We start from the raw sequence: 22,842 nt of genomic DNA, 5'->3' as shown, positions 1-22,842 counted from the left end.
CCTATGACTCAATGTTGCTACCCTGACTCTATCCTCCCTCGTTCTCTCTGGATCTCATAATAGCAGGAAGAGTGGGTACAGAACAGGACTCAGTGGCTCTGAGTGTGGCTTATGGCTTGCCCAGTGTGGGGGGCTGGTAGGCTACAGGGCAGGGGTCCCTCCTTTGTGCCATGCTGTGACTCCAAAAGGTACAGGATGGCCACCATTCATCCAAGACCCCTCCTACACCTGCATCGACCTTCCTCAAAACACCTGTCTGTTCAGTCTTCTGCTCTTCCCTCCCAGGGCCCTTGCCCCTCCTCACCAGTTCCTTCTTCAGGAGCTGCCAGGCATAAGTTACCATATGTCTCCTCATGGTTCCTGTGCAGGCAAATGGCACAACTAGCCCCTTTGCCTTTCAAGGGGAGGACTACAAATTTTTCCCCAAAAATCCAGTAATACTAGAAACAAATAGATTTCCTCAGTAACAAGGCAAGAGCTCCACTCCACTCCTCCTACCATACCATCAGCTACTGGAAGCCCTGCTCTGAGAAAAATCATTCTCAGAATCTCCTAAGGTCACAATGAAAGATTCTGGAGGCAGGGGACACAGGGATTGGAATGTGGGAGTCTAACATTTATGGGATACTCACAGGCATTATCTCAGCTAATCCTCACAACCACCCAAACTTTTACTCAACTCCATACATAGGAGACTGGGGCTCAAAGTAGCTAAATGGCTGCCAGAGTCCTGGTGAGACAGGAGAATGGCACAACCCTGCTGACCAAAACAGGATCTAGGACCCCCTAGCTGTCCCCATCCCTCATTAACATAAGACACTCCTACCAGTGCCATGACAGTGTACAAATGTCTTGGCAATGACCAGGAAGTTGCTACCTCTTTCCTAGAAAACTCTAAAAACCCACTCCTTAATTTGCATTAACCTGCCCCTTAATTTGCATTAGCCTGCCCCTTAATTTGCATGTGATTGAAAGTGGGTAGGAATGCGTATACTACACTTGATCTCAGCCAAAAGGCTGAGAAGGGATTAGAGATGAGCATAAATACAGTTGCCAACATCTCATACACTGGGTATCGACTCCGGATTCATTGCCCATGAGTTAGCCCTGCCCCACAAGGAGAAGCACTATTCAATAAAAGATTGCTGTCTAACACCACTGGCTCACCCTTGAATTCCTTCCTTGGGCAAAGCCAAGAACTCTCCTAAGCTAAGTCTCAATTTGGGGGCTCACCTGTCCTGCAAAGATAGGGCTTTTTTGTTTTTTGAGACACTGTCTCACTTTGTTCCCAGGATGGAGTGCAGTGGCCCAATCTCAGCTCACTGCAACCTCTGCCTCCCAAATTCAAGTGATTCTCCTGCCTCAGCCGCCCAAGTAGCTAGGATTACAGGCGTGTGCCACCATGCCCGGCTGATTTTTGTATTTTTAGTAAAGACAGGCTTTCACCACGTTGCCCAGGCTGGTCTCAAGCTCCTGACCTCAAGTGATCCACCCACCTCAGCCTCCCAAAGTGCCGGGATTACAGGCATAAACCACCACTCCTGGCCAGGGCCTTTTTTTTTTTTTTTTTTTTAAGAAAGCAGTGTAGCTAAATGTCAGGTACACTTGCTCTCCATTTGTAGCATCCAATTAACAGAAGCAAGGTCTGGTCCAGCCTGGCCAATGTGGTGAAACCCCATCCCTACTAAAAATACAAAAAAATTAGCCGGGTGAGGTGGTGGGCACCTATAATCCCAGCTACTCGGGAGGCTGAGGTGGGAGGATCACTTGAACCCGGGAGGCAGAGGTTGCAGTCAGCCAAGATTGTGCCACTGCACTCCAGCCTGAACGACAGAGCAAGACTCTGTCTCAAAAAAAAAAAAAAAAAAAAAAAAAAAAGCGGGAGGGGGAATTGGCATAAATGGCATGCAGAGGAGGGAATGAGCAGGTGGGAGTCTCCATGACTCACTTTGGTGCCTTATCTACCGCCTGGTCGAGCTGCCACCATCTTGGGCAGAACTAGGTTGTAAAGTGGCCTTGTCTCGAGATACTCTCCAGGTGGGGCAGAGTTTCCTGGCAGGCATACTTTTGGTTGTAAATTGACTATTGTCTCTCAAGGCAATCTGGTGGGAGAGGTTTCTACTCTGGAGCTTTTAAGTAAGCACACAGATACACTTGCTCTAGGAGTGTCTGGTGAAGGGAAAGCAAAAGGTTATAACTGCATTTCTAATCAGCTAAGTAGGAAGTGGGGAACAGAAGAAAAACACAAAAGAGAAAGAAGAAAAAGATGATTTAAAAAGATAACTCATTCTCTATCTCATAGAAAAATGGGTGTACTTTGTTACAGCGGGAGGCTTCTAGGCTGGGAGTAGGTTCATCCAGCACCTTAGCCCAGGGACCACTCTGAGACTTAGAACTTGGAGGCCCTGGAACGTGGGTGCATAGTACTGTCCCATAAGTCTGGTTAAATCAGGACAATAAAAAAAAAACTCAGCAAAACAGAAGACCTCACCCAAATCAAGTGTCAAATATTGAATGGAACTTGGTGACTAGAACTCAAATCTCTGGAGTCCTTCTAAAGATATAGAAAAATATAGGCTCTAAAGTGCTTTTTTCTATTAAAGATGACAATTGAGTATCTCAATTTGCTCTTGCACCAGGATCCTCAGTAGAAAACTGTGATTTCAAGCATCACCTGCTCTGCCATTCCTATCCCGTGGGGTATATCTGTTAACTCTCCTCCAACTGATAGGTAGACAGAAGGACACTGAGTTCAGCAAAGATGGCTGGACAGCTGAGAAGAAAGACAAAGGCCACTCTTGGGGTGGGACAGTAATCACACACAGAGGTGAGAAGGGACAAAACTGGTTTTTCCCCCATACCATGAGAAAAGATGTAAAGAATTCAGAGAGAGAAAGAAGAGAAAGTTTTAGAAAGAGAGACAGAGAGATGAGGTATGGAGTTTTTGCCTCCCCCACTGCAAACCTAGTCTTAAGGAAGGAAATATAAGAGGATCCCCTTCAAAAGTGTAGGGGGCTTCTGAAAGAAACAACTGGGCCTGGAGAAAGCAAGAGAGATGGTAGGAGATGGCTATAGGCAGGAAGGGTGTCCCGTCAGTCCTCTGAACTGCCTGAGGATCCAAGAGTGACAAGGAAAGTATCCAGGCTCACAAGGGGCATCAGATGATGCCAGTACGACCTGATGAGACCCCAAAAATGTTTACTGCCAACCTCACCTCTTGCCAGCTGTGGTTGTACAATTTCTCTAGGAATTAGATCAGCTTTGGGGAAGAAGAAGCAGGAAGTTTGGAGAGCTATGAATGGGCCCAAGATGAATCAATAAGCCTGAAATTATATCCACTCAAAATTACTGGATTGGATCTCAATTTACCTGAAGACATCCTAAATTCAATTATCTGCAAGGAGGTGGGCTGGGGATTCAGAGTCACACATTTAAGTCAGTTCTAGAAACTAAGAAAGTTTCATTTCTCTTACAGTTCCTGATTTTATAACTGTAACTATTACAGGGTAGAATGCCAAAAAGAGCACTGGTCCTATTCCTATGTGATCTTAGGTAAGTCACTTAACTACTTGGGGCCTCATTTTCATAATGTATAAAATGGAGTTCGATTCAATTCCACAAACAATTTATGAGAAGATTCGGCCAAGCGCGGTGGCTCATGCCTGCAATCCCAACACTTTGGGAGGCTGATGCGGGTGGATCACCTGAGGTCAGGAGCTCAAGGCCAGCTCGTCCAACATGGTGAAACCCAGTATCTACTAAAAATACAAAAACTAGCCCAGTGTGGTGGCATGCACCTGTAATCCCAGCTACTCGGGAGGCTGAGGCGGGAGCATCATCTGAGCCTGGGAGGCGCAGGTTGCAGTGAGCCAAGATTGCACCACTCAAGCCTAGGTGACAGAATGAGACTCCGTCTCAAAAAAAAAAAAAAAAAGAGAGAGAGGGAGAGAGAAGATTCTTATTGTTTTGCTGATTATAAAAGCTATACAACAAATGCTTACAAAGCATATGAAGGTGAATAAGATGTGGTCCCTGCTTACCAGGAGTTCACAATATGGTGGGGAAGTAAAATCCTCAGAGAAAGTCTTGCTATAATAAAGCTATGAAAGATATATGAGGCCGGGCATGGTGGCTCACGTATGTAATCCCAGCACTTTGGGAGACCAAGGTGGACAGATCACGAGGTCAAGAGATTGAGATCATCCTGGCCAACATGATGAAACCCTGTCTCTACTAAAAATACAAAAATTAGCTGGGCTTTATAGCGGGAACCTGTAGTCCCAGCTACTTGGGAGGCTGAGGCAGGAGAATTGTTTGAACCTGGGAGGCAGAGGTTGCAGTGAGTCGAGATCATGGCACTGCACTCCAGCCTGGCAACAGAGTGAGACTCCGTCTCTTAAAAAAAAAAGATATATGAAGAGGTGGTTGGGTGCAGTGGCTCACGCCTATAATCCCAGCACTTTGGGAGGCTGAGGTGGGTGGATCACGAGGTCAGGAGATCGAGACCATCCTGGCTAACATGGTGAAACCCCATCTCTACTAAAAATACAAAAAAAAAAAATAGCCGGGCGTGGTGGCAGGCGCCTGTAGTCCCAGCTACTCGGGAGGCTGAGGCAGGTGAATCACTTGAACCCAGGAGGCAGAGGCTGCAGTGAGCCAAGATTGAGCCACTGCATTCCAGCCTGGGTGACAGAGATAGACTCTGTGGTTGGGAGTTTGAGACCAACCTGACCAACATGGAGAAACCCCATCTCTACTAAAAATACAAAATTAGCCGGGCATGGTGGCGCGGGCCTGTAATCCCAGCTATTAGGGAGGCCGAGACAGGAGAATCGCTTGAACCCAGGAGGCGGAAGTTGTGGTGAGCCGAGATCACACCACTGCACTCCAGCCTGGGCAACAAGAGCAAAACTCCATCTCAAAAAAAAAAAGAAAAAAAGATATATGAAGAAAGAGCAGGGTCTGTTCAGGGAGCATGAGACATAGCTAAAACGTGAGATGCTCAGGAGGTGTGGTTATGAGGAAGGAGGCTGGGCTGGCAGAGGCCATAAACTAGCTATGGCACGTGATGTGCCAAGTGAACTTGCAGACTGTTTTATTTGACCTGCATAGTGTTTTGGTTTAAATATTGCTCAAAATTAACTTGCTTGTCTTTAGTTGAGGTATTGGCTCTGTAATTCACCAAAGTCTTCACCTCACACAATTAAGTCATCTGCCAGGCATGTTACCTGTTTGCAACCCCCAGTATGGATCCATAGGGCCTCTTTCAGGTCAAAAATTCTCTATTTAGTGGTTGCAAAATGGCAGTTCACCGCCCATAGCTAGCCTACTGACATGTTTCAACAGAGGTTATTTTTAGGAATTTGAATGAGTCTTTTAACACTTAAATACTAGATTTTTATGAATAATCTTTTAGGAAAAAATAATTTACCAAAGTGACCCCAATAGAAACTATTTATTTATTTATTTATTTATTTTTGAGACAGAGTCTCTCTTTTGCCCAGGCTGGAGTGCAGTGGCACGACCCTGGCTTACTGCAACCTCTGCCTCCTGGGTTCAAGCGATTCTCCTGCGTCAGCCTCCTGAGTAGCTGGGATTACAGGCACCCACCATCGTGCCTGGCTAATTTTTGTATTTTTAGTAAAGACAGGGTTTCACCATGTTGGCCAGGCTGGTCTCGAACTCCTGACCTCAAGTGATCCGCCACCGTGACCGGCCGAAACCATTTAAGTAGACTAATTTTCTGATTTTATTTCCTTTTTTTTTTTTTTAATTTGGAGACAAGGTCTCACTCTATGCCCTAGGCCAGAGTGCAGTGGCATGATCACAGCTCACTGCAGCCTCTACCTTCCCAGACTCAGGTGATCCTCTCACCTCAGCCTCCAAGTAGTTGGGACCACAGGTGTGCACCACCATGACTGACTAATTTTTTAATTTGTAGAGATCTGGTCTCACTACGTTGCCCAGGCTGGTCTTGAACTCCTGGGCTCAAGCAGTCCTCCCACTTCAGCCTCTTAAAGTGCTGGGATTAGAGATGTGAGCCACCACGCCCAGCCTAAATAGATTAATTGTCATAGAAGTAGAGAAGCTGTAAAAGAGGTCTCTCACCACTACCACCACCTAAAAAGAAAAAAGCAGCTGGTCCTAAAGGTTTCACAGGCAACTCCAAACAACCTCAATGTTTCTTCAACCGTTCCAGAGCCTAAAAAGAAGGAAAACTACCAAATTATTGTAATGAACTGAGAACACTGACACTAAAACCTAATAGAGGTTGCACAAAAAAAGAAAGCTACAGATTCATCTCATTTATAAATATTGTTCTTAAAATCTTAAAATATAAGCAAATAGAATTCAGCAGTACCTGTAAAAATAACATATCATTCTGGGAGTGCAAAGATGGTTAATTATATAAACATAATTCATTATGTTAACATAGCTAAGGAGAATAATCACAGGATCTTCTATAAATTTTTGTTTTTTGACAGAGGTGCATGAACATGTCACCCCTATGGCCCAGTGGGGCTCCAATGTCCTGGGGACCTTAGTAAGACTGCAGGGGGCCGGGCGCGGTGGCTCACGCCTGTAATCCCAGCACTTTGGGAGTCCAAGACAGGCGGATCACAAGGTCAGGAGATTGAGACCACCCTGGATAACACGGTGAAACCCCATCTCTATCAAAAATACAAAAAAAATTAGCTGGGCGTGGTGGTGGGCGCCTGTAGTCCCAGCTACTCGGGAGGCTGAGGCAGGAGAATGGCGTGAACCCAGGAGATGGAGCTTGCAGTGAGCCGAGATCGTGCCACTGCACTCCAGCCTGGGCGACAGAGCAAGACTCTGTCTCAAAAAAAAAAAAAAAAAAAGACTGCAGGGAGCATGCCTCAGAATTGTCCACTTGAGAGCTGCTCCTGGAGGCATTAACTTCCCAGCCTTTCTGGGTTAAGCACTCCAGTGGCCAGAGGGTGACGGTGCTGAGAGTAGCAAGCTATCACATCAGCCTGTGCGGCAATGAGGGGTGCTGAGAAGATCCAGAAGGTTAATGCCAATAGAGAACGCTATGGCTGCAGGCCTTAGGGAGAGCTGGCAAAACTCGTACTTCTCCAAAGAAGCGGGCTACACCTTGAGGGCACAACTCACAACACCTTCAGTAGAACATTGGGATGGTGATGGACAGGCTGGCTCTGGGAGCCTCTCTGGTCCCACTGGGACCAAGGAGAAGTAGGGGAGTGGGGTGACCAGGGAAACACACAGATGTTCCATTTTTATAGCCCTACAGCTGCCAAGCTCCAACTGATCGGAAGAGGAGAGGGCTAAACCAATTCACATACTCACAAAAAACCCTGTCAGAAGAAGCTTCACTATGAAGCCAAGAGAATTCCTGCCAGCCTGGAATTCTACTCTAGTCCTTTCTCCACACACAATCCCACAAGCAGCTTGTCCAGAAGAACTCACTTCATCTAAAGGGGAGTTATAGTAAAAAAGAAATAACACAAGACTTATACAAATATATTACTGAAAAAAGCAGGAGAGGGAGGCAGGGAACAGGAAAAACAAATGGCAGATGAAAGACAATCACCAAAAAAAGAAAAATAAAAAAGCTAACATGAAACAGATGATAATCATGAACAACAAAGAAGTCAAAGGGCTTAATGAATTTTAAAACAAGAGATCAAAGCAAAGATGTAATAGTTCAAAGAAAAGACACTGAGACAGCCAGAGGAGACGACACTGGCAGAGCTCAGGAAAGAAGGGATTTTAAAAATAACCATCTCAGAAGAGAAGGTCATTCCAGAAACATCAAAAAGAAAGCTAGCCTTGCTGAGAACAGAAGATAGGACTGCAAAAAGCAAATGAAGGAGTTGGGAATGAATGATTTAAAAAGAGCCAAGAGGCCGGGCGTGGTGGCTCACGCCTGTCATCCCAGCACTTTGGGAGGCTGAGGCAGGTGGGTCACCTGAGGTCAGAGGTTGGAGACAAGCCTGGCTAACATGGTGAAAATCTGTCTCTACTAAAAATACAAAAAATTAACCGGGTGTGGTGGCAGGCGTCTGTAATCCCAGCTACTCGAGAGGCTGAGGCAAGAGAATAGCTTGAACCTGGGAGGCAGAGGTTGCAGTGAGCCAAGATCATGCCACCACACTCCAGCTGGGTGACAGAGCGAGAGGAAAGAAAAAGCGGGAGGAGGGGGGTGGCGACAGAGCAAGATGAAAGAAAAAGGGGAGGGGAGGGGAGAGGAGAGGAGAGGAGAGGAAAGGAAGAGAAGGGAAGAGAGGGGAAGAGAAGGGAAGAGAAGGGAAGGGAAGGGAAGGGAAGAGAAGGGAAGAGAAGGGAAGAGAATGGAAGAGAAGGGAAGAGAAGGGAAGAGAAGGGAAGAGAAGGGAAGAGAAGGGAAGAGAAGGGAAGAGAAGGGAAGAGAAGGGAAGAGAAGAGGAGTATGGCAGTATAGAGACAGAGAAAGTGAGAGGTAGGGGCAGGCACGGTGGCTCACGCCTGTAATCCCAGCACTTTGGGTGGCTAAGGCAGGAGGATTGTTTGGGCCCAGCAGTTTGAGGCCAGCCTGGGCAACATAGCGAGACCCTGTCTCTATAAAACAAACAAACAAACAAAAAAACAATTAGTGGGGCATGGCGGTACGCGCCTGTGGTCCCAGCTACTCACAAAGCTGAGGCAGAATAGTTTGAACCCAGGAGTTTGACGCTGCAGTGATCTAGGACTGCAACACTGCACTGAATTTTCTGAATAACTAATGACACTGAGCTTGGATGACAGACTCTGTCAAATGAAATACTAAGTGCTGATGAGGATGTAGAGCAACTAAAATTCTCATTCATTGCTGGGCCCTGGATTCTACCCTGGCTAGTACTTCTACTTTCTGAACTTTAGTTTGCCCATCTGTGAAGTAAAGGGGTTGTCCTAAGGTTCTATGAATCAAACACATGTCTATAGAAAGAAAGGTGGCAATATGTAGCAAAATATTTCAGTCAGTCCTCTTTTGGGATTACAGCTTAAGGAAGTACTGGTATCCCTTACCATCCAAGCTCTTGCTATCAGAATGCTTCCTTTTCAAACTCAGAGACCAAATAGATTTGATAGTAATAGATGCTTATAATTCAAAATCAGAACAAGCTTTAAGCAATATATGATTATCACATTATTTTAATGAAAAATCAGAAATAATCTAAGTGTTCAGCAATAAAGCAATATTCTTTACAGTGCATCCAGACTGAGTCTCCTAAAACACAAATCTGATCACATCCTTCCCCTGCTTTAAGTCCTTCCATGGTTCCTACTGTCTATGTTAAACGTGGGTTTGAATCCCAATCTTGCCATGGATTGGCTGAACCTGGGCAAGTTAATTAATCTCTCTAGACCTTAATTTCTCATCTGTAAATAAAGTATCACACATACACAGATGTTCAATAATGATATGGTTTGGCTGTATCCGCACCCAAATCTCATCTTGAATTGTAGCTCTCATAATTCCCACGTGTTGTGGGAAGGACTCAGTGGAAGATAATTCAATCATGGGGGTAGTTCCCCCATACTGTTCTCATGGTAGTGAATAAGTCTCACGAGATCTGATGGTTTTATAAGGGGAAACCCCTTTCACTTTCTCATTCTGTCTGCCTGCTGCCATCCATGTAAGATGTGACTTGCTCCTCCTTGTCTTCCACCACGATTGTGAGGCCTCCCTAGCCACGTGGAGCTGTGAGTTCATTAAACGTCTTTCCTTTATAAATTACCCAGTCTTGGGTATGTCTTTATTAGCAGCATGAGAACAGACTAATACACTAATAATAATATCAATGCCTGTGACTTTTAAAAATACTACATACTAGAACTTACATATTCAAGGAAGTATTATCTCTTCATAACCATCGGTTTTAAAAAAATGACGAAGTATATATTCTGTGCCAAACCCTGCACCAGTTCCCTTATATATATTTCTCCTCCTCGACTATTCAGAACCATCCTGTGTGGTAGTTACTATTTCCAGGCTCAGAAAGATAAGTGATTACCCAAAGCCATGTCATAAAATAACTCATAGCAGTTCTATTTGTAACAGCTCAAAGGTGGAGACAACCCAAATGTCCTTCAATGGATGGTTAAATATACCATGGTACATCTATACCATAGATTACTACTCAGCAATAAAAAGGACAAACTATTGATACAAGCAACCACTTGGGTGAATCTCCAGGGAATTGTGCCAAGTGGAAAGAGCCAAGCCCAAATGATTATACACTATATGATTCCAGGTATGTAACATTTTTTAAATAACACAGTTATAGACATGGAGAATAGATTAGTGGTTGCCTGTGGTTAGGGATAGGGGAAGGGAAGATGAATGGATGCAATTATAAAGAGATAGCACGAGGGATCTCTGTGGTGATCAGACAGTTCTAGATATTGTGGTAGTAGTTGCATTAATCCACACACGATAAAATTGCATAGACCTACACACACACACACACACACAAATGCATGTATGTAAAACTGGGAAAATGTGAATAAAGTCTGTGGATTGTACCAATGTCAATTTCCTGGTTTTGATATTGTACTATAGTTATGCAAGATGTTACCATTAGGGAAAACTGACTGAAGGGTACATGAAACCTCTCTGAACTATTTTTGCAACCTTCTATGAATCTATAATTATTTCCAAATAAAAAACTTATTTATTTTTTTGAGATGAAGTCTCACACTGTCACCCAGGCTGGAGTGCAGTGGCACGATCTCAGCTCACTGCAACCTCTGCCTCCCGGGTTCAAGTGATTCTTCTGCCTCAGCCTCCCAAGTAGCTCGGATTACAGGTACCTGCCACCATGCCCAGCTAATTTTTTGTATTTTTAGTAGATATGGGATTTCACTATATTGGCCAGGCTGGTCTCAAACTCCTGAACTCGTGATCCGCCTGCCTCGGCCTCCCAAAGTGCTGGGATTACAGGCATGAGCCACCATGCTTGGCCAATGAAAAGCTTTTTAAAAGACGTATTCTCCAGTGTGATGGCTCTGATAAAAAAGAAAATAAGTATCCAAGCTTCTTTTCCACAACCCTCAACAACCAAGTGCCATCAAAAGGCACTGAGGTCTCTGAAAGAGTCTGGGACTCATATGAGAGCTCTGCCTTCTCAGGGATGGTCTGCAATCCACATTTGTCCTCTTTCCTTTAATCAACACTGAAGCTACCTAGGAGTCAGGCCTTGTGTTGGAAGCTAAGTGATATGAGATGAATGAGTTATGATCCCTTCCCAAGTGAACTCCCAATCTAGGGATAAAGAGGCCTAATAAGATAAGAGTTTGGACTAAAAGTCAAAAGATTTCTGTCCTCATGAAACCACTTACTAGCTTTCTTATTTTGGACCAATCCTTCATCTTCTGACATCTTGGTTTCTCAATCTGCAAAATTCAAAAGAATGAAATATAAATGTATATTTTAAGCTTAATCTGGGACTTCTGGGAGGGTTCAAGGATATATGTAAATTACATGAAAGTAGATAACTGCATCCCTTTTCGAAGAAGAGGCATTATATGTTTTTTTTCAGATTCTGGGAATCTGAATGTTTTAACTTTTATCATGGACATTTTCAAGCATATACCAAAGTAGAGTGTACATACTGCCAATCTTTCAAGCCTTCTAAAGTGCTGAGATTACAGGCATGAGCCACCGAGCCCAGCTAATTTTTTGTATTTTTAGTAGAGACAGGGTTTCATCATGTTGCCCAGGCTGGTCTTGAACTCCTGAGCTCAGGTGATCCGCCTGCCTATGCCTCCCAAAGTGCTGGGATTACAGGCATGAGCCACCGCGCCCGGCCAACTACTGAGCCAATCTTGTTTCATTTATTCCCTCCACATTATTTTTTTACTGCTGAATCACTTTAAAGCAGGCTTACCGGCCCACAAAGGGCTGGATTTTTAAATTCCATTTCTAAGGGCCCTTCCAGTCTGACATTCAATGATTCTAATAGATCTCTCAGGTCCCTCCTCCTATCTCTAATAATTCACGATTTCAATAGGGATGGAAGAAATAGACTAGAGATCTAACATAACATCTCATGATTCCAGGTGCCACAAAAGTTCATTCCCTTTCACAAGAAGATAATAACTAAATTTTAAACATGGAATTCTAGGACATTTATGATTTAACCCCCACCAGTGTTCCAACCTCATCTCTCACCCCTTCTCCAGATCCCAACCACTTTCCCATATAGCCTGCAGTTTCCACAGTTTTGCTCCTACTCACTATGTGCCTTTGTACAGGCAGTACCTTCTACCTGGAATGTCCCTGAGCCCCACCCATTTTGTTCTTGAGTCTCAGCTTGAAGTCTCCTCCCCAGTGAAGACTTCTATCACCTCTTGCCTCCACAGAAGGGTTAGTGTGCTCCCTTAGGCCTAGAAACTGAGTACCTGTTACCACACAGGGAATAGCACTGTTGGTCACTCTGGGCAGCAAACCCAACTACTGAGGGGCCAGACAGAAGTCAAGGTTTGAAGCCAGTAGGCATAACAAACACTAAGACCCTGCTTTCTCACCTCTAAAAAGAAAAGAGAGAAAAATATCAACTCTAAATAAAGCAACAACCTGAGAGCAACAGTAAATGCAAACAACATTCTATTTCAGAGAACCATAGGGAATGGTTGAGATTGAGACCAAATGGGACAGAGTATCTTGTCTAAAGGAAGTCGTCTCTACTCAGTGTCAGCTGATTGTTGACCAGCAGGAATTTGGGTCCAGTGTGGCCAGCTCTTCCGTTTTTTCAAGAAAAATTAGAAATCCAGATTTGCATGTGAAATCTCCCAATTTTTACATGTCAGCAACTAAAAAACATTAAAGGCCCACTGCAACGACTTTCAAGGTTTTCAGGCTATGGAAATGATTTCATGAGGGTCCACTTCTACCCATCCAAAGGAAACATCCTATGGTAGGGGTAAGTTTTATATCAGGGCTAATGGCATGTTAATGGTTGTTAAACCTGCTCCTCCATCCTGCACGGGCTCAAAAGGACTGCAAGGTCATAGAAAACCTTTCATATGAGGCCCCTGTCCTTTGAGGGCCTCAGTTTCCCCTTCTGTAAAATGAGGATATAAAACCTATTTGTGGCCCGGCACGGTGGCTCACGCCTGTAATGCCAGCACTTTGGGAGGCTGAGGAGAGTGGATCACCTGAGGTCAAGAGTTCGAGACCAGTCTGGCCAACACGGTGAAACTCCATCTGTACCAAAAATATAAAATATTAGCCGGGTGTGGTGGTGGGCGCCTGTAATCCCAGCTACTCGGGAGGCGGAGGGAGGAGAATCGCTTGAACCCGGTAGGCGGAGGACTCAGTCTCAAAACAAAAACAAAAACAAAAACAAAACTATTTGTGAGTCAGCTACCAAACAGAAAACCACCTGGCCGAGGGCTGTCAGGGCCACGTGCTTTTACCTACATCATCTCACTGAATTCTCAATTACCTCTGAGAGGTAAGTTCTATTACATCCACATTTTACTGATAAGAAAACAGTAGCTCAGAGATAGCAAGCAGTTTACCTAATAAAAACAAGAGCAAACTTCTTAAAAGCCCTTTCTCTCCAACGGCTTAATTTATTTAATCCTCCTAACAACTCTGAGCTGGGTATCGTCAAAGGGGATTCCACCAAGGTAGCCTCACTCCAACACTCTAACCCAAGGCTGCTCAACAGAAATATAATGTAAACTGCACATGCAATTTAAATGTTTTTAGAAGCTGCATTTAAAAAGTAAAAACACAGGTGAAATTAATAACATTTTTATTTGACCCAATATATGCAAAACATTATATTCCAACATGTAATCAGTATTAAAAAGTATTGAGATAATTTTTACATCAGTTTTTTCGTACTAAGTCCCGTATTTTACAATATAGCACATCTCAATTCGCTATATTTCGAGGGTTATCAACTAGCTACGTTGCAAGAGCTGAGTCAACTCAGGAGGCCAGCGGCCACCATAAGGGGCAATGCATTTAGAGTTCACTTATTAAATGCTGACGTTAACAGAACCCACAGAGCCGCATTTCCCTTGGTTTCGGAGGACACGCGAAAAATAACAACAGCAAAGGGTTCTCGAGCATCTCCTTCGCGCCAGACGGTGTGTTGTACTTTGTCATCGTCGCAGTAAGGCCGGTGCTATCGCCCTCCTAGTTTGACCAAGCGAGAGGACTTTCTCCAGATGGGCCCCTCCCGAGAGAATGGTCGCCGTCCCGCTCTCCTGTTCGGGTCACCACCGGCCGGGCGCCACTCGAACGAGCCCCGGCCAGCCGTCACCCTAATCATTCCCGAAGGAGGGGCCATCAGAGCTACAGCTCATCAGGGTCAATCAGAAGGGGCGCCCGCACGCAAAGGTCACCTGCAAACCGAAGCGGCGCACGGATAAGGTCCGGGACTTGAAGTCTATCTCCAAACATTCAGGCTCCTCCTCCGACTCCTCCTCGAACTGGCGCTCAGAGGCGCCACCATTCGGAAGGAGCCCAGGCCACGCGCAGCTCGCCCTCCCGCACCGCGAGGGCAGCAGCCGCCTCATGCGACTCGAGAACGCTAGAGGGCGCCGCTTCCGGGAGCCCGCAAGCGGCTTCCGGGTGCTCGCGCGCCGACCTGGACGCAGAGAAGCCAGAGACTTTCGCTTCCGGCTGCCGCAGGCGCTTCGCTGGTGCAGGTAAGCTCCGCACACTCTCGGCCGGTCCCGAGTCCGACTCCCTCAAGGGTGACGCGAGCTCTGCCCTTTAACCGGAAACGTCTCCCTGCTCACCCCACCCCCGCGCAGACGCAGTGCTGAGCACACAGCTACCGGACAAAGAGTGACGCCCGGAGCTGGAGTTATGGCGGCTACGGAGCCGATCTTGGCGGCCACTGGGAGTCCCGCGGCGGTGCCACCGGAGAAACTGGAAGGAGCCGGTTCGAGCTCAGCCCCTGAGCGTAACTGTGTGGGCTCCTCGCTGCCAGAGGCCTCACCGCCTGCCCCTGAGCCTTCCAGTCCCAACGCCGCGGTCCCTGAAGCCATCCCTACGCCCCGAGCTGCGGCCTCCGCGGCCCTGGAGCTGCCTCTCGGGCCCGCACCCGTGAGCGTAGCGCCTCAGGCCGAAGCTGAAGCGCGCTCCACACCAGGCCCCGCCGGCTCTAGACTCGGTCCCGAGACGTTCCGCCAGCGTTTCCGGCAGTTCCGCTACCAGGATGCGGCGGGTCCCCGGGAGGCTTTCCGGCAGCTGCGGGAGCTGTCCCGCCAGTGGCTGCGGCCTGACATCCGCACCAAGGAGCAGATCGTGGAGATGCTGGTGCAAGAGCAGCTGCTCGCCATCCTGCCCGAGGCGGCTCGGGCCCGGCGGATCCGCCGCCGCACGGATGTGCGCATCACTGGCTGAGCGGTGGAGCTGCGGGCGGCCAGGGCCGGGCGCTCTGTGCGGACTGGGGCCATGATCGGGCCCGGGGGCCTGAGCCTGGGACCCCACCCCGTGTTAATGAAAAATGAGTTTTGGCAGCGCCTGTGGTCTGGTGTGTCTCTTTCATTCGTTCTTATTGGGTTTATTTTACCAAGCCTGTTTCCTACCGCCTTTCTGGCTGGTGGCGAAACGAAGTTGGGAGTCCGTAACAATAAGGCCTTCGTTGGCTATAGTGGGATCTTTAGATGTTGACTGAACCTAGGTTATCCCTCTACCACACATGGGAAGTTTTTCACCTGGGCTCCCAAGGACCCACTTGGGTTTCTTACACGCAAAATAGCTGGCTCTATTAAATGCTCACTTAACTGGCTACCTCTATACCAATATGGGCACCAACTTGCACCTGCCCTTTGGGTACAGGCTTCCCAAAATGTCCAAGTTACTGGGCCATTTTAATGTGAAGTGTTTACTGCACACCTTCACAGAGATAGGCTAGTTCTTGTGAGCTCTGGCTTATGCCGCCAGGCTTGCTCAACTTCCTTGCCAAATTTTAGGCCTGTGGTAGGAATAAAGCAGAACTAGTTGAAGTAATGGATTATTTACATTACTGAAGCTACTCATTTTAATGTCTCTCCGGCTGGCTCCCTTTTGGTGTTTAAACTAGCATAATCGTTTACAAAGGGAAGAAAGAATTTGGCAAATAATGAGGACCTGTTCTGAAATCTTAAACCTACTCTGTTTCCAGAGGCTTCTGCCCAACCAGGAAGGAGCTAGTTAGGGTCCATGGACAGCTTGGATTGGTCCCAGATAGGTCCTATTGCAGTGAGTGCCATTTGTTAATATAAGGAAGGCCAGACTTGTCTTCCTTGCACTGCTCTCAACAATCAAAATCAGCCTGCAGTTCACACCACAAAGCATGAGTGAGACTGGGCTGGAAGTTGGTGAGGGGCAATTTGCTTTTGAATATTAAAGACAGACAAATTGAGAAGTATTTTTGCATTCTTGGGATTTCTTGGCAGAGTTTGCACCTGCCTCCCTGGAAAAAGATAGTTGTTTAGAAGGTAAGAACAGCCTTCTTTAAAAGGTAATGTTTAAAGAAGATTAGAATAGGTGAAGAAGGACAAGCACAGTGGCTCACGCCTGTAATCCCAGCACTGTGGGAGGCAGAGGCGGTGGATCACTTGAGATCAGGAGTTCGAGACCAGCTTGACCAACATAGTGAAACCCCCATCTCTACTAAAAATAGAAAATTATCTGGGTGTAGTGGCACATGGCTGTAATCTCAGTACTTTGGGAAGCCAAGGCGGGCGGATCACTTAAGGTCAGGAGTTTGAGACCAGCCTGACCAACATGGTGAAACTGTCTTTCTACTAAAAATACAAAATTAGCCGGGCTTGGTGGCGCACGCCTGTAATCCCAGCTATTCGGGAGGCTGAGGCAGGAGAATCGCTTGAAACCAGGAGGCGGAGGTTGCAGCGAGCAGTGATCGCGCCATTGCACTCCAGCCTGGGCAACAAGAGCGAAACTCCGTCTCAAAAAAAAAAGAATGGTGAAGAACTTTATACAGTCATGCATCTCTTAATGGGGATGCGTTCTGAAAATGAGCCCTTAGGCAGTTTTATTGTGTGAGCCTCATAGAGTGCACTTATGCAAACTAGATGGTATAGCCTACACACACCTAGGCTTTGTGATAGAGCCTACTGCTCGTAGGCTACAAGCCTGTACAGCATGTTACTGTACTGAATACTATAGGCAGTAACAATGGTAAGTATTTGTGTATCTATACATAGAAATGGTTAAGTAAAAATATAGAATAGGCCGGGTGCGGTGGCTCACACCTGTAATCCCAGCACTTTGGGAGGCCGAGGTGAGCGGATCACGAAGTCAGGAGTTTGAGACTAGCCTGACCATCATGGTGAAACCCCATCTCTACTCAAAATACAAAAATTATCTGGGCTTGGTTGCGGGCAACTGTAATCCTAGCTACTCAGGAGGCTGAGGGAGGAGAATTGTTTGAACCTGGGAGGCGAAGGTTGCAGTGAGCTGAGATCGCGCCATTGCACACCAGCCTAGGCAACACGGTGAGGCTCCATCTCAAAAAAAAAAAAAAACATTTATATATATTTATATATGTATATATACACACATGCATATATACACATACACATATATATATGCATATATACATATACACACACACACACATATATATATATATATATAAAAGTAAAAAATAAGAGTTTGCGGGACTGGACATTGTTCTGGCTGGGTAAGTGGTGAGTGAATGTGAAGATGTAGGACGTTACTGTACGCTACTCCAGAATTTATATAAACACTGAACACATAGACTAATTTTTTTTTGTTTGAGAGAGGATCTCACTTTGTTGCCCAGGCTGGAGTACAGTGGCACAATCTAGGTTCACTGCAACTTCTGGCTCCCAGGCCTAGGTGATCCTCCTGCCTCAGCCTCCCAAGTAGCTAGGAATACAGGTGCATGCCACCATGCCTGGCTAATTTTTGTAGAGATGGGGTTTCACCATGTTGCCCAGGCTGGTCACGAACTACTAAACTTATTTTTTTTAATTTTCTTTCTACAATAATAAATTAGCCTTAGTTCACCATAACTTTTTGTTTTTGTTTTTTGTTTTGTTGAGACAGTTTCACTCTGTTGCCCAGGCTAGAGTGCAGTGGTACGATCTCGACTCACTGCAACCTCCTCCTCCTGGGTTCAAGCAATTCTCCTGCCTCAGCCTCCCAAGTAGCTGGGACTACAGGCATGCGCCACCATGCTAATTTTTGTATTCTTAGTAGAGATGGGGTTTTGCCATGTTTGCCAGGCTGGTCTTGAACTCCTGACCCCAGGTGATCTGGCCGCCTTGGCCTCCCAAAGTGCTGGGGTTACAAGCGTGAGCGACGGCACCCAGCCTTTTATTTAGAGACAGGGTCTCCATCCTCAGCCTCCCTAAGTGCTAGGATTACAGATCTGAGGCACCTTGCCTGACCAACTTTTATACTTTGTAAGCTTTTAAATTTTAACTTTGACTTCTGTAATAACACTTTGTGTTTACACACATGGTACAACTATACAAATATATTTTCTTTATATCCTTATTCTATGAGTTTTTTTCTAGTTTAAATTTTTTATATATATTTTACTTTTTAGATTTTTGTTAAACACTAAGACAAATCCACGCATTAGCCTAGGCCTATGCAGTAGGACCATCAGGACATCACTAGGTGATGGGAATTTTTCAGCTCCATTATAATCTTATGGGACCACCCTGTATATGGGGTCCATGGTTGACAGAAACGTTATATGATGCATGACTGTAACTCAACAATACGTAACTGAAACATAGCAACAAGAACCTGTTTTATTTTTTCCAAATACAGATACAGAAGTCTGCGTGTTTTGCAAATATTGCTTCAAAGCAACATTTCTATATACAGCGCCTTCTGTTCTAATAGCGCGTAAACATAGATATGTATCCACAGTGCAATGTTGGCTCATCAAGGATCCACCTTGCATACACTTACCACTTAAAGAAACAAAATGATTAGTCAAACCGGAACTATTTTTGTCAAGGTAATTTTTTATAGGTGGATAGTTTTTCTAAAGACAAAACTTAGGTAGTGCACATATTTCTTTCTTTTCTTTTATTTTTATTTTTTTGAGATGGAGTCTTGCAGTTGTCGCCCGAGCTGGAGTGCAATAGCGCAATCTCGGCTCACTTCAACCTCCGCCTCCCAGGTTCCAGCACCTCTCCTGCTTCAGCCTCCCAAGTAGCTGAGATTACAGGCGTCCGCCACCACGCCCAGCTAATTTTTGTACTTTTAGTAGAGACGGGGTTTCACCCTGTTGGCCAGGCTGGTCTCGAACTCCTGACCTCAGGTGATCCACCTGCCTCGGCCTCCCAAAGTGCTGGGATTACAGACGTGAGCCACTGCACCCAGCTGATAGTGCACATATTTCTAAATGGTAACAGCAATGTTTGCAAATAACGGTTTCCAGTGCTCCAACATAGGGTTAATTCACCTTGACCCAGGAATTGGGAATGGAGCCCCTCAACATGGCTTTAAATTAGGGAAGCACAATGAGGTTATAAGAACTTGGGGAGTCTTCTCTGCTTCCCTAAGAACAAAAGTCACAATGAATGAAAGGAGATTACTTCCTTTACCAAAAATTTAAACAATAATCCCAATAATGGCCAGTTGGCAAAATTAGGGCAATTCAGTTTCTGCTTACATCGTTGAACAAGACATGAAATTGACTACCTTAAAAGTTACAGCTTCCACAGATGTGATTAAAACTCAAATGTATTTTCAGAAAAGAAAAATCAGTAATCTAATAATACAACAATCATCACGCCTCACAGGTGTGGCTACAGAAAGCCATCCTGTTTCTTCCCTTTTCAGACTGCATGACAGAACTCTTACAATGCAGCTGTCTGAACGTGCATGCCATGCACGCCTGTGCATTTCTTCCCACGCCAGAAACACCAACGTTAGCAGTGAGAAACAGCCTCTTGTAGAGGAATCGTCGTTTTGTTATAGATGTTATAGCCACGTGTATTCTCTCTGATGGACAGCTATAGCAGATCAGCTTATACTTGTCCTATAATTCATTATATATCAAATGGTGAGCAAATCACTAGACAGAACATTCCCTGAAATAGATTTTAGTACAGAGGCCTGAATTCATGTCCACAATGACCTGTGCTTAACTATTCCAAAGGTCGCTAAAGATACTGTTACTACTATTGAGATATTATTGGCTACTTCACGTTTACATAGTAAATGTTTGCAGCATATAACATTACAGACTCATAAACCCATAATTAACTTATAAGTGTTAATGGACAACTGTGCTTTGATTTTTGCCTTTAGTGATAAGAAAACAAAGTAGTGAAATGGGTCACTCCTCAAAGCATGGAACATTTTAACTTTGCCTAGTAAGGAAAAACAAAACAAAATATAGCAATTACATGTGGAACCGTAACCTGCAAAAGTAACACAAATATTGTCTCAAAAGGTACAAATAGGTTGTACCTGGACCTTAAGCAGCATGATCACCTTGCTCTCACAAAATAATACAAACAGGAAATGTAAAATGTTAAAGTATAGTAACAAAACAATTCTGAAAACGCTGACTACTAAACACCCTTCAGGAAGGAGAAAAGTCGCACATGTAGAATTTGAAGTTTGTTTACAACAATATAAAATAAGGTAATTCCCCAAACCACATTCTTTGTAACAAATCTTTACAGTGAAAGAGTTTGAAATTTTGGGAAACATTTTTGGACATTAAATAGAACGGGGAAGCTGTCAATATTAAGAAGTGGGTAGAAAATGCTGTCCTTTGGGTTCCAGACCCTGCCTGCTTCGGTTTGGAATTCCTCCTAGATTCTTATTACTGTGAGTGAGATTCTAGTTCTTCCATAGGCTGTATGGGCTCTGCTACAAAAGCCATAACCCAGCCAGCTCTGGGGTGAAGGCATACAAACTTGTCCCCAGTACCATGAAGTCATGCAAGAGATGTGGTGAGAAAAGTGAAGAGTCCTAAGGAGAAAGCAGGGCAGCCAAGACTCTGCTCTTTCCCAACCTCCACAGCATGGTGAGCTCACAATATTCCTATGAAGCTAGAAAAGGAAAATGATGCCTGCTGCCCAAACACCATGCCAGGAAGAAACCAGGGAGTTGGCATGTGCCCCAACGTGATAGAAAAGTCAATTAAATAAACTCCAAATTGAATTTACAACTGTCTCCAACTAAACTTTTTTGGCTCTCATTCCGTTTATCATCAGTGGCACAATTTCAAGTGAAGTTTGTGCAAAAAGACTCTCTTCATTCAACGATGTGCACAGAAGAGGGGAATCCCAAGAGTCTATTTGCTACCTTTATGGCAGGCTTCGAGATCAGAGTGTCCTCCCGCAGCCAAAATGGCCTCTTTGTCCAATGTCCACCACACTCCTGGCCCAGATCCCTGAAGTCAGTCGGTGTCACGTGCATTCAGCATGCTAGGTTTATTTATTTAAATATGCGAAGCTCCTCCTGCAGGTGCCCCAGGATTGTGCCCCCATGAGTTTTGGGTGCCCAGTTTCATGTTGAGCAGCAGAGGGCGATCTGCTGCACCTTGCCCAGGTCCATCAGCAGCTGCTTGATACAATGCTTGAGCTGCGGAAGCCTGGCCAGCGGCTCAGGGGGCTCCAGTTCCCCAGTGTAGTCCAGCCAGCTCTCCAACACTGTCGGCAGAAGAGAGAGATGAGACCTAGTGAACTCCCAACACTTGATTTGCAAGAACATCAGCAAGCATTTCAGCACCTTATTCCATCAGACATGGGGCAAGGGAGGAAGGGCCATTTCAGCCTCCATGGGGCAAGGGAGGAAGGGCCATTTCAGCCAGCACTGTGTCAACACCTGCTCTACAAAGTGGTACTCCCAGGACAAAACACAAATGCTTTAGAGCAGCACAGTCCAAAAGAACTTTCTGCGATGATCAATGGTCCAAGTCTGTGTCATCCAATACAGTAGCCACTAGCCTTATGCAGCTATTGAGCGCTGGAAACATGGCTAATGCAACTGAGGAACTGAATTTTAAATTTTATTCAGTTTTGGTTAAACAGCCACACATTGCCAGAGGCTACTGTTACCAGAGTCTAGAAGTCTTGGAAGGAAGCACCTTTCTGAGTGTTACCACTCACTCTTTAAAAAGCTTTCCCAGCCGGGCGCGGTGGCACATGCCTATAATCCCAGCACTTTGGGAGGTCGAGGCGGGCAGATCACAAGGTCAAGAGATCAAGACCATCCTGGCCAACATGGTGAAACCCCATCTCCACTAAAAATACAAAAATTAGCCAGGCATGGTGGTGCCCGTCTGTAGTCCCAGCTACTCAGGAAGCTGAGGCAGGAGAATTGCTTGAACCCGGGAGGCGGAGGTCGCAGTGAGCCGAGATCGTGCCACTGCACTCCAGCCTGGCGACAAAGCGAGACTCCATCTCAAAAAATAAAATAAATAAAATAATAAAATAAAATAAAATAAAATAAATAAAATAAAATAAAATAAAATAAAATAAAAAATAAAAAGCTTTCCCATGTTGAAAATCAGAGAGCCTGGTGTTTTAGCATCCTGTCAAGAAAAATGAAAATCTATAGGGTCTTGAAAAGGTCTATTTGTATATCATAAACTCTGATTTGCTTCATATTAATTCCTGATTGATACGCAATCATCAGTGGCACAGAATACTCTGTTATTATTTTCTCCCTTTATTTATTTACTTATTTATTTATTTTTTTGAGATGGAGTCTCACTGTGTCGCCCAGGCTGGAGTGCAGTGGCGCCATCTCAGCTCACTGTAATCTCTGCCTCCTAGGTTCAAGCGATTCTCCTGCCTCAGCCTCCAAAGTAGCTGGGATTACAGGCATGTGCCACCACGCCCGGCGAATTTTTGTAT

The 22,842-nt window shown here is 45.3% G+C and overlaps 3 protein-coding genes and 1 pseudogene across 32 annotated transcripts in view, besides 4 other annotated features; 1 reads left to right on the top strand and 3 right to left on the bottom strand.

Moving 5' to 3' along the window:
• Positions 1-14,732, bottom strand: part of CNBD2 (cyclic nucleotide binding domain containing 2) — a 76,315-nt gene extending 61,583 nt beyond the window's left edge. For 9 of the 18 annotated variants that reach the window (XM_047439921.1, XM_047439922.1, XM_047439927.1 and 6 more), the window contains exons 1-2: positions 14,365-14,732; positions 11,344-11,397 (exon numbers count right to left, since the gene is read on the bottom strand). In XM_047439921.1, coding sequence (XP_047295877.1) covers positions 11,344-11,397; positions 14,365-14,538 — 228 coding nt within the window. In that variant the 5' untranslated portion in view covers positions 14,539-14,732. Of the gene's footprint in view, positions 1-304; positions 529-11,343; positions 11,398-14,364 lie in introns of those variants that run through there. The other 9 variants (NR_130714.2, XR_001754187.2, XR_001754188.2 and 6 more) reach the window with 2 other exon arrangements.
• LOC124904982 (uncharacterized) lies at positions 816-1,029 on the bottom strand (annotated as a pseudogene).
• On the top strand, positions 9,646-15,494 carry SCAND1 (SCAN domain containing 1). Of its 3 annotated transcripts, none has more exons than NM_001385710.1 (3): positions 9,646-9,705; positions 10,064-10,256; positions 14,016-15,494. In NM_001385710.1, exon 3 carries the CDS (start codon positions 14,834-14,836, stop codon positions 15,371-15,373), a length of 540 nt encoding a protein of 179 aa, NP_001372639.1. In that variant the 5' UTR covers positions 9,646-9,705; positions 10,064-10,256; positions 14,016-14,833; the 3' UTR covers positions 15,374-15,494. The 3 variants fall into 3 exon arrangements, with proteins under 3 accessions (NP_001372639.1, NP_057642.1, NP_361012.3); NM_016558.4 differs by lacking the exons at positions 9,646-9,705; positions 10,064-10,256 and having other exon boundaries at positions 14,102-14,366; positions 14,631-14,670; positions 14,779-15,494; NM_033630.3 differs by lacking the exons at positions 9,646-9,705; positions 10,064-10,256 and having other exon boundaries at positions 14,616-14,670; positions 14,779-15,494.
• Positions 14,049-14,258: an enhancer, noted in NCBI's record as "active region_17802". NCBI's record gives its function as "activates an Ori minimal core promoter by ATAC-STARR-seq in GM12878 lymphoblastoid cells {active_cell/tissue: GM12878}" and the evidence as "EXISTENCE:reporter gene assay evidence [ECO:0000049][PMID:35858748]".
• Positions 14,359-14,558: an enhancer, noted in NCBI's record as "active region_17801". NCBI's record gives its function as "activates an Ori minimal core promoter by ATAC-STARR-seq in GM12878 lymphoblastoid cells {active_cell/tissue: GM12878}" and the evidence as "EXISTENCE:reporter gene assay evidence [ECO:0000049][PMID:35858748]".
• Positions 14,639-14,898: an enhancer, noted in NCBI's record as "active region_17800". NCBI's record gives its function as "activates an Ori minimal core promoter by ATAC-STARR-seq in GM12878 lymphoblastoid cells {active_cell/tissue: GM12878}" and the evidence as "EXISTENCE:reporter gene assay evidence [ECO:0000049][PMID:35858748]".
• Positions 15,019-15,098: an enhancer, noted in NCBI's record as "active region_17799". NCBI's record gives its function as "activates an Ori minimal core promoter by ATAC-STARR-seq in GM12878 lymphoblastoid cells {active_cell/tissue: GM12878}" and the evidence as "EXISTENCE:reporter gene assay evidence [ECO:0000049][PMID:35858748]".
• Positions 15,495-18,747: 3,253 nt separating the features above from the next.
• Positions 18,748-22,842, bottom strand: part of PHF20 (PHD finger protein 20) — a 178,356-nt gene continuing 174,261 nt past the window's right edge. For all 11 annotated transcript variants that reach the window (XM_047440180.1, NM_016436.5, XM_017027868.3 and 8 more), the window contains one exon: positions 18,748-21,633. In XM_047440180.1, the coding sequence (XP_047296136.1) occupies positions 21,491-21,633 (143 nt within the window). In that variant the 3' untranslated portion in view covers positions 18,748-21,490. The remainder of the gene's footprint in view (positions 21,634-22,842) is intronic.

The sequence above is a fragment of the Homo sapiens genome, chromosome 20, assembly GCF_000001405.40.
Source record: "Homo sapiens chromosome 20, GRCh38.p14 Primary Assembly".
Taxonomy (NCBI): Eukaryota; Metazoa; Chordata; class Mammalia; order Primates; family Hominidae; genus Homo; species Homo sapiens.
Note: the sequence above shows the minus strand (reverse complement) of the source record. Positions and strands in the feature narration are given on the sequence as shown.